This window comes from Homo sapiens, chromosome 3 (assembly GCF_000001405.40).
Source record: "Homo sapiens chromosome 3, GRCh38.p14 Primary Assembly".
NCBI classification, from domain to species: Eukaryota; Metazoa; Chordata; class Mammalia; order Primates; family Hominidae; genus Homo; species Homo sapiens.
Window position 1 is genome coordinate 148411309 of NC_000003.12, and position 10929 is coordinate 148422237.

Below are 10929 nucleotides of genomic sequence, written 5' to 3' on the forward strand. Positions count from 1 at the left end.
CAGCAATGCCCCATTTCCCATTACCAATTTGCTCTATTACTCTGTTCTTTCTTTCTTTCCTTCCTTGTTTCTTTCTCTTTTTTTTTTTTTTTTGTTTGTTTTTTGAGATGGAGTTTCATTCTTGTCACCCAGGCTGGGTGCAATGGTGCAATCTCGGCTCACTGGAACTTCTGCCTCCTGGGCTCAAGCAATTCTCCTGCCTCAGCCTCCCGAGTAGCTGGGATTACAGGCACCCGCCACTAGGCCTGGCTAATTTTTGTATTTTTAGTAGAGACAGGGTTTCACCATGTTGGCCAGGCTGGTCTCGAACCCCTGACCTCAGGTGATTCACCTGCCTTGGCCTCCTAAAGTGCTGGGATTACAGGTGTGAGCCACTGTGCCCAGCCCCAGTCTGTTCTCACACTGCTAATAAAGACATAACTGAGACTGGGTAATTTATACAGGAAAGAGGTTTAATTGACTCACAGTTCCACATAGCTGGGGAGGCCTCACAATCATGATGGAAGGCAAAGGGGAAGCAAGACATGTCTTACGTGGCAGCAGGCAAGGGGGTGTGCAGGGCAGCTGCGCTTTTATAAAACCATCAAATTTCATGAGTCTTATTCACTATCACAAGAATACATGGGAAAACCCACCCCCATAATTCAATTACCTCCCACTGAGTCCCTCCCACAACACGTGGGGATTATTACAAGTCGTGGTGAGATTTGGGTGGGGACACAGAGCCAAACCATATCAGAGGGTAAAAAGGAATGTTTCAGGAAATTTTGATGAAATTGATAATTTCCAACAGAATCTGCGAAATCTAGCCCCTAATTCTCAAATGTTTGGATAGAGAAAAGGTACTGGCTTTTCTCCCTGTTAGCAAGAACATTCTGTGTCAAGATGGGAAAAAAGTAGCATTCATCGTGCAGCACCTGTGATGGTGATTTATAAACAGATCCAGGCTGAATCATGTGGGTGCCTGCCCCAAGGAGGTTAACACTTTGCTGCCTCTTTTAACAAATGTTGTGTGAATAGTTTTAAATATTTATTTAGAGAGAAAACTAAGTCTTATGTAAGGAAGAAAATGAGAGCTACTGTTGATAGAATTTAAACCCCACTTCTAGCTTGCTCTTTGCTCTTTTGTTACTCTGCTCTTTGGCAAACTTGTGCCTTTCGCTGAAGAACACTAAAGCCCTACAGGTAAAAAATAAAATAAAGTAAATTACATAAATAAAAAAAAACATGCTCCTGAGAAGGCAATTAGTTAGTCATCTTTTATCACTTGAACATACTCATTGAGGTCTCACTGCCTACACCAAGGACATATGAAAAATCCTTTCAAACAGAATGCAATGGTCTTCCTAAGAGTAGATCAGGAAAATACTTTTTTTTTTCCATTCTGCTGCATTTCCAGTGATATCTGAACACCCCTGATGGACTGGCATCTTAGGGTTTTCCATTAAAACAGGCTGCTGATTTGCCTCTGAATTTAGAGTTCAACTTGGATCCTGGAAACACAAAGAAGAATAACACACAGCCTCGCCCTCAGGGAACTCACAGGTATTCCAAAATAGACTTTGAGACGTTTATGCCCCCACAGAAATGAAGGAATACACAAATTTACTTTTGTTGTCTGTTTTGTGAACAACCTGAATTTTCCTGCCCTTTAAAAACTATTGTTCTTTAAGCTAATGCTTTGTAATAATTATTGATAGACATCATGCTAAATTCTATAAGGACAGTTTTATTATTTGACCCCATTTAATAATTTAATAATTTGCTCATCCATGTTCAGGCTCAGTACATTTTTCCTTCTCTGAATTTCCATACAATAGCCTTTGCTCCTTTTCTAGGCAAAAAGAAAGAATCCTATTTCCCTATTTAGAATATTATTATTCAGGTTTTGCATCAACTACTGTGATTTTTGATCATCCCCTTAACTCTCAATAGCAGCTTGTATCTGGAAGGTCACTTATGAGCCTCTGCAGATCCCAAAGAGAAATTTATCTATTTGGAAAACAGAGTTTTTCAACATGAGTAAAATGACATTAGTAACAATCTTCCAGGAACTATTGTATCGCTCTGAAAGATGGCACTTGTAGAGTTCAGGTCCAGGAAAATTTTTCTAAATACTCAAAGGCAACTTTCCTAGAATGAACTCATGTATTTAAAAAAATGTGAAACAGAGATAATACCATCTCTAGCTTATTTGGTGAGACAGAGAAAAAAACTTGTTTATAGTTATAAGGAGTTGGAACTAATTATATTTCTTTGTTTCTAGTTTGCCATATCCTGTCTAATTGTTAGGGTATGTGTACCCTTCTAAATACACTGTTTGCTTTGAATAAGATCTGAGTGAGAAAGAGTTTCAGTTCACAGCCTATGGAATCTATTTGCATCTCCAAGGAAATAGTTGTTTACTACTCTGTTGTCATTTGTTCAGAGCACAACACAGAAGTGAGTTCCCATCAATATTCATGGTCCTTGTAGCCTCCAAAGTCTCCCTGTGTGATTGTGCTCCATTTAGCTCTAAATCTGTACTCCCATATAGATTTAAACAAGAGATCTAGGGAAATTTTGAAGTCTTTTGTTCTCAGTCACAGTAATATTTAAATAGTCCACTGAGTATGCAAGTATTGCCAATTCCTTTATTGCTTTGTTATAGTCTACCACAAAAAGATCCACCTTAGGGAAACATAACGCTTTTCTGTTTTTGTTTTTTGTTTTTTGATTTCTGATTGTGAAAAGTCTTTACCTCTTCCTTTACTAGCTTAGTTATTATTCAATTTTGATTTTTAAATGCATATAGTGGCAGGCATATATAATTATTTTCAAGGATAAGTTATAGCCTCCACTCCTACCCTCACCCCAGTGTTCTTACACTTACTCAACAGGTAAACCTGAACTTACCTTGATTCTTCTTACTAAACACCACAAAAGTTTTGGTATGTGTCAGGCCTCTGAGCCCAAGCCAAGCCATCACATTCCCTGTGACTTGCACATATATGCCCAGATGGCCTGAAGTAACTGAAGAATCACAAAAGAAGTGAATATGCCTTGCCCCACCTTAACTGATGACATTCCACCACAAAAGAAGTGTAAATGGCTGGTCCTTGCCTTAACTGATGACATTACCTTGTGAAAGTCTTTTTCCTGGCTCATCCTGGCTCAAAAAGCACCCCCACTGAGCATCTTGTGACCCCCACTCCTGCCTGCCAGAGAACAACCCCCCTTTGACTATAATTTTCCTTTACCTACCCAAATCCTATAAAACGGCCCCACCCCTATCTCCCTTCGCTGACTCTCTTTTCAGACTCAGCCCGCCTGTACCCAGGTGAAATAAACAGCCATGTTGCTCACACAAAGCCTGTTTGGTGGTCTCTTCACACATACACGCATGAAATTTGGTGCCGTGACTCGGATTGGGGGACCTCCGTTGGGAGATCAATCCCCTGTCCTCCTGCTCTTTGCTCTGTGAGAAAGGTCCACCTATGACCTCAGGTCCTCAGACTGACCAGCCCAAGGAACATCTCACCAATTTTAAATCAGGTAAGCGGCCTCTTCTTACTCTCTTCTCCAACCTCTCTCACTGTCCCTCAACCACTTTCTCCTTTCCACTCTTCAATCTCTCCCTTCTCTTAATTTCAATTCCTTTCATTTTCTGGTAGAGACAAAGGAGACATGTTTTATCTGTGGACCCAAAACTCCGGCACCAGTCACGGACAGGGAAGGCAGCCTTCCCTTGGTGTTTAATCATTGCAGGGACGCCTCTCTGATTATTCATCCACGTTTCAAAGGTGTCAGACCACGCAGGGACGCCTGCCTTGGTCCTTCACCCTTAGCGGAAAGTCCCGCTTTTCTGGGAAAGGGGCAAGTACCCCAACCCCTTCTCTGCTTGTCTCTACCCCTTCTCTGCTTTTCTGGGGGAGAGGCAAGTACCCCTCAACCCCTTCTCCTTCACCCTTAGCGGCAAGTCCCGCTTTTCTGGGGGAGGGGCAAGTACCCCTCAACCCCTTCTCCTTCACTCTTAGCAGCAAGTCCCGCTTTTCTAGAGGAGGGGCAAGTACCCCAACCTCTTATATCTCTGTGCCCCAATCCCTTATTTCCATGCCCCAACCACTTATTTCCATGCCCTGACCCCTTATTTCCATGCCCCGACCCCTTATTTCTGCACCCCATCCCTTATTTCCATGCCCCAACCTCTTATCTCTGCACCCCAACCCCTTTTCCCACTTTTCTGGAAGAACCCCCAAACCCCTTCCCTCCATTTCTCTACTCTCTCTTTTCTCTAGGCTTGCTTCCTTCACTATAGGCAACCTTCCACCCTCCATTCCTCCTTCTACTCCCTTGGCCTGTGTTCTCAAAAACTTAAAACCTCTTCAACTCACACCTAACCTAAAACTTAAATGCCTTATTTTCTTCTGCAATGCCACTTGACCCCAATACAAACTCGACAGTAGTTCCAAATAGCCAGAAAATGGCACTTTGAATGTTTCCATCCTGCAAGATCTAAATAATTCTTGTCATAAAATAGGCAAACGGTCTGAGATGCCTGACGTCCAGGCATTCTTTTACACATCAGTCCCTTCCTAGTCTCTGTGCCCAGTGCAACTCGTCCCATATCTTCCTTCTTTCCCTCCCGCCTGTCCCCTCAGTACCAACCCCAAGCATCGCTGAGTCTTTCTAATCTTCCTTTTCTACAAACCCATCTGACCTCTCCCCTCCTCCCCAGGCTGCTCCTCGCCAGGCTGAGCTAGGTCCCAATTCTTCCTCAGCCTCTGCTCCCCCACCCTATACTCTTTTTATCACCTCCCCTCCTAACACCTGGTCCGGCTTACAGTTTCCTTCTCTGACTAGCCCTCCCCCTCCTGCCCAGCAATTTACTCTTAAAAAGGTGGCTGGAGCTAAAGGCATAGTCAAGGTTAATGCTCCTTTTTCTTTATCCCAAATCAGATAGCGTTTAGGCTCTTTTTCATCAAATATAAAAATCCAGCCCAGTTCATGACTTGTTTGGCAGCAAACCTGAGACACTTTACAGCCCTATACCCTAAAAGGTCAAAAGGCCGTCTTATTCTCAAAATACATTTTATTACCCAATCTGCTCCCGACATTAAATAAAACTCCAAAAATTAAATTCTGGCCCTCAAACCCCACAACAGGATTTAATTAACCTCGCCTTCAAGGTGTACAATAATAGAAAAAAGTTGCAATTCCTTGCCTCCACTGTGAGACAAACCCCAGCCACATCTCCAGCACACAAGAACTTCTAAATGCCTGAACTGCAGTGGCCAGGCGTTCCTCCAGAACCTCCTCCCCCAGGAGCTTGCTACATGTGCCAGAAATCTGGCCACCGGGCCAAGAAATGCCCGCAGCCCGGGATTCCTCTTAAGCCACGTCCCATCTGTGTGGGACCCCACTGAAAATCGGACTGTTCAACTCACCTGGCAGCCACTCCCAGAGCCCCTGGAACTCTGGCCCAAGGCTCTGTGACTCCTTCCCAGATCTTCTTGGCTTAGCGGCTGAAGACTGACACTGCCCGATTGCCTCGGAAGCCCCTTAGACCATCACGGATGCCGAGCATCAGGTAACTCTCACAGTGGAAGGTAAGTCCGTCCCCTTCTTAATCAATACGGAGGCTACCCACTCCACATTACCTTCTTCTCAAGGGCCTGTTTCCCTTGCCTCCATAACTGTTGTGGGGATTGACGGCCAGGCTTCTAAACCTCTTAAAACTCCCCAACTCTGGTGCCAACTTAGATAATACTCTTTTAAGCACTCCTTTTTAGTTATCCCCACCTGCCCAGTTCCCTTATTAGGCTGAGACACTTTAACTAAATTATCTCCTTCCCTGACTAGTCCTGGACTACAGCTGTATCTCATTGCCACCCTTCTTCCCAATCCAAAGCCTCCTTTGCATCCTCCTCTTGTATCCCCCCACCTTAACCCACAAGTATAAGATACCTCTACTCCCTCCTTGGCGACCGATCATGCACCCCTTAGCATCTCATTAAAACCTAATCACCCTTACCCCACTCAATGCCAATATCCCATCTGGCAGCACGCTTTAAAAAGATTAAAGCCTGTTATCACTCGCCTGCTACAGCATGGCCTTTTAAAGCCTATAAACTCTCCTTACAATTCCCCCATTTTACCTGTCCTAAAACCAGACAAGCCTTACACGTTAGTTCAGGATCTGCGCCTTATCAACCAAATTGTTTTGCTTATCCACTCCGTGGTGCCAAACCCATATACTCTCATATACTCAATACCTGCCTCTACAACCCATTATTCTGTTCTAGATCTCAAACATGCTTTCTTTACTATTCCTTTGCACCCTTAATCCCAGCCTCTCTTTGCTTTCACTTGGACTGACCCTGACACCCATCAAGCTCAGCAAATTACCTAGGCTGTACTGCTGCAAAGCTTCACAGACAGCCCCCATTACTTCAGTCAAGCCCAAATTTCTTCCTCATCTGTTACCTATCTCAGCATAATTCTCATAAAAACACACGTGCTCTCCCTGCCAATCATGTCCGACTGATCTCTCAAACCCAAGCACCTTCTACAAAACAACAACTCCTTTCCTTCCTAGGCATGGTTAGCGCGGTCAGCATTCTTACACAAGAGCCAGGACCACACCCTGTAGCCTTTCTGTCCAAACAACTTGACCTTACTGTTTTAGCCTAGCCCTCATGTCTGCGTGCAGCGGCTGCCACTGCTTTAATACTTTTAGAGGCCCTCAAAATCACAAACTACGCTCAACTCACTCTCTACAGTTCTCATAACTTCCAAAATCTATTTTCTTCCTCATACCTGATGCATATACTTTCTGCTCCCCGGCTCCTTCAGCTATACTCACTCTGTTGAGTCTCCCACAATTACCGTTGTTCCTGGCCCAGACTTCAATCCGGCCTCCCACATTATTCCTGATACCTCACCTGACCCCATGACTGTATCTCTCTGATCCACCTGACATTCACCCTATTTCCCCAAATTTCCTTCTTTCCTGTTCCTCACCCTGATCAAGCTTGATTTATTGATGGTGGTTCCACCAGGCCTAATCGCCACACACCAACAAAGGCAGGTTATGCTATAGTACAAGCCACTAGCCCGCCTCTTAGAACCTCTCATTTCCTTTCCATCATGGAAATCTATCCTCAAGGAAATCACTTCTCAGTGTTCCATCTGCTATTCTACTACTACTCAGGGATTATTCAGGCCCCCTCCCTTCCCTACACATCAAGCTTGAGGATTTGCCCCACCCAGGACTGGCAAATTAGCTTTACTCAACATGCCCTGAGTCAGATTACTAAAATATGTCTTAGTCTAGGTAGATACTTTCACTGGATAGGTAGAGGCCTTTCCTACAGGGTCTGAGAAGGCCATCGCAGTCATTTCTTCCGTTCTGTCAGACATAATTCCTCAGTTTAGCCTTCCCACCTCAATATAGTCTGATAACAGACCAGCCTTTATTAGTCAAATCAGCCAAGCAGTTTTTCAGGCTCTTAGTATTCAGTGAAACCTTTATATCCCTTACGGTCCTCCATCTTCAAGAAAAGTAGAATGGACTAAAGGTCTTTTAAAAACACACCTCACCAAGCTCAGCCACCAACTTAAAAAGGACTGGACAATATTTTTACCACTTTCCCTTCTCAGAATTCAGGCCTGTCTTTGGAATGCTACAGGGTACAGCCCATTTAAGCTCCTGTATAGACGCTCCTTTTTATTAGGCCCCAGTCTCATTCCAGACACCAGACCAACTTGGACTGTGCCCCAAAAACTTGTCATCCCTACTATCTTCTGTCTAGTCATATTCCTACTCACCGTTCTCAACTACTCATACATACCCTGCTCTTGTTTACACTGCCGGTTTACACTGTTTCTCCAAGCCATCACAGCTGATATCTCCTGGTGCTATCCCCAAACTGCCACTCTTAACTCTTGAAGTAAATAAATAATCTTTGCGGGCAGGACTATGCTGAATCTCCTTAGGCACTCTCTAATCAGATATCCTGAGTTGTCCCAATTCTTAGACCTTTTATACCTGTTTTTCTCCTTCTGTCATTCCATTTAGTTTCTCAATTCATCCAAAACCGTATCTAGGCCATCACCAATCATTCTATATGACAAATGTTTCTTCTAACATCCCCACAATATCACCCCTTATCACAAGACTTCCCTTCAGCTTAATCTCTCCCACTCTAGGTTCCCACGCTGCCCCTAATCCTGCTTGAAGCAGCCCTGAGAAACATCGCCCATTCTCTCTCCATACCACCCTCCAAAAATTTTCGCTGCCCCAACACTTCAACACTATTTTGTTTTATTTTTCTTATTAATATAAGAAGGCAGGAATGTCAAGCCTCTGAGCCCAAGCCAAGCCATCACATCCCCTGTGACTTGCACATATACGCCCAGATGGCCTGAAGTAACTGAAGAATCACAAAAGAAGTGAATATGCCTTGCCCCACCTTAACTGATGACATTCCACCACAAAAGAAGTGTAAATGGTTGGTCCTTGCCTTAACTGATGACATTACCTTGTGAAAGTCTTTTTCCTGGCTCATCCTGGCTCAAAAAGCACCCCCACTGAGCACCTTGCGACCCCCCACTCCTGCCCACCAGAGAACAACCCCCCTTTGACGGTAATTTTCCTTTACCTACCCAAATCCTATAAAACGACCCCACCCCATCTCCCTTCGCTGACTCTCTTTTCGGAGTCAGCCCGCCTGCACCCAGGTGAAATAAACAGCCATGTTGCTCACATAAAGCCTCTTTGGTGGTCTCTTCACACGGACTTGCATGAAAGTATGCCTATAATTATTAAGTGAAAATACATAATGAGTTGTGATTGCTGCTAGCAGTGAATCTGTACAGCTCTGCAGTAAACTTGATCCTTGCCTCCTCAGAGGCAAGAATTCGGCTGAAGGGCAGAAGTAGGTTTAAGGCAGAGGGAGAGACCAAGGCAAGTTTTAGAGCAGGAATGAAAGTTTATTAAAAACTTTTAGACCAGGAACGAAAAGATGTAAAGTACACTTGGAAGAAGGCCAAGCAGGGGACTTGAGAGATCCAAGTGCCCTGTTCAGCTCTTGACTTGGGATTTTACACATTAGCATGGTGCCAGGGTTTGCAGGGGTTTTTTTTCTCCCTTGATTCTTCCCTTGAAGCAGGCTGTCCACATGCGTAGTAGCCTGCCAGCACTTAGGAGGGGCCACATGCACAGTATGTTTACTGAAGTTGTGCACATGCTTACTTGAAGCATTTCTTCCTTATCAGTCGAGATTTCCTAGAGGTAGATCGTATACCACTTAAACGCCACCATTTTGCCTCTTAGTGCGCATGCTTGAGGCCACTTGCCCACTCCTGAGATCTTATTGGGACGCTACTGATCACCAGCTTCAGGTATTTTCTAGCTATTAGAGACTGCCTTTCCCTGGCTCTGGCTGCAACCAATTATGATTTTAAAGCGACAGTTTAACAACTGATTGACCATCACCTGATAGTTGCCTGACATTCCTTGTTGTGGAGCCCTTCTCCTACTCTGCTCATGTTTGCATAACTACCTTCTCTAACATGGCAGCCATAAGAACGGAGATAAAACACCTTTTAGGGTATATGTCAGGTCAATCAGAAGTAAGAATTCCTCTAAAAATTACATTCTATATATGTACTTTATTTTGAAGTACATATTCAGCAAACTGTAAACGTGCATCCAACAGGTAAAAATTTGTTCTTCTCCTCTAATGAGAGGAATAGTTATTAAAATTTTGCTTTCTTTCCCTTCATTGTGTAATTATTTTAAAATGTGTATATATACCTACAATAATTTTTATTTAAATAGTTATTAAAATTTCTAATCCCCCTAGATATTTATAAGCAACATTTTATTTGGAAAATGATGTAATGCACCATAGTTAAAACTAAAGAAAATGGACTTAAAATTTAATGGAATAATATAAAGAAGTAATGAGGCTAGATACTAACTGAGGTTCTGGAATATACTTAGAGGGGCTTTTTTTAAAAGGGATTTGTGCTATTTGCCTAGAATGCTTTAGGACATTTAAGCCTAACAATATATGGAAAAAAACAAGTAAATAAGATAGACATAAATTAAAAAGTACCTAATATAATCTTTTCAATATATATTTAAGATTCTGGCTCCAGTTCAGATAAAAGTAAGCATATGTCACCCTGTTTCTCCTGTTGAGTACAACGAATGACTAAAACAGATATATTGAGCAGCTATCTGAAGACTCTGAAACGTTAAATGGTAGCAGGTAGAATGAAATAAGGAAATGAGTACTCAAAGTAAGACCAATTTAAGGGGGAGTTTCTTGTTTTTTGCCTCTGGTATCTCCCACGGTGGAATGAAACGCATCATAAAGTTCAAAATTCTGGGCTGAATGTAGGCAGAAAGCTGTAAGAGAAGACCTCAATTTCCAGTCCCAGTCAGGAAAAGGAGTCCTTGGGGTCAGTTCCTGGGGAAAGTATAAAAATTTGACTGTGTTGTTTTTTGTTTTTTCCATCCCAGACCCAGGAAAATCTATGGCAGTACTGTCACAGAGGTGAAAACAATAACAGTGGTAGCTGGGCAGACACTTAAAACTCTGAGGGAAAGCAACCCTTCCCTCTGACAAGAGGGACCGTGGTCCTAAGAATGTGATGGAATATCCCAATTCTTTCTTTCTCTATATACCCTGCTACTTGGCTTCAGTGGCAGACACAGTTGTGGAATGTTCACAGCAGAGAGGGAAAACTAAAGCCCTTTCTTTCTAGACTGAAGAGCAGAATCAGGGCCTTTCAGAACCAAAAAGTGTCACAAAGACTGTAAAGAGGAGAGAATTCAAGAAAGTAATTCCATAAAGTTGTGTCTGAATTGTGGGTCTCCCCTACAAGCTGCATAAGCATGAATAAGAGCCTAACTAAAGACTCTTGAGAACTGATAGG

The 10929-nt window shown here is 43.2% G+C and overlaps 1 annotated feature.

Moving 5' to 3' along the window:
* Positions 8072 to 8855: an enhancer, noted in NCBI's record as "OCT4-NANOG hESC enhancer chr3:148137167-148137950 (GRCh37/hg19 assembly coordinates)". NCBI's record gives its function as "activates a minimal SCP1, AML or CMV promoter by ChIP-STARR-seq in primed H9 embryonic stem cells {active_cell/tissue: H9 hESC(primed)}" and the evidence as "EXISTENCE:reporter gene assay evidence [ECO:0000049][PMID:30033119]".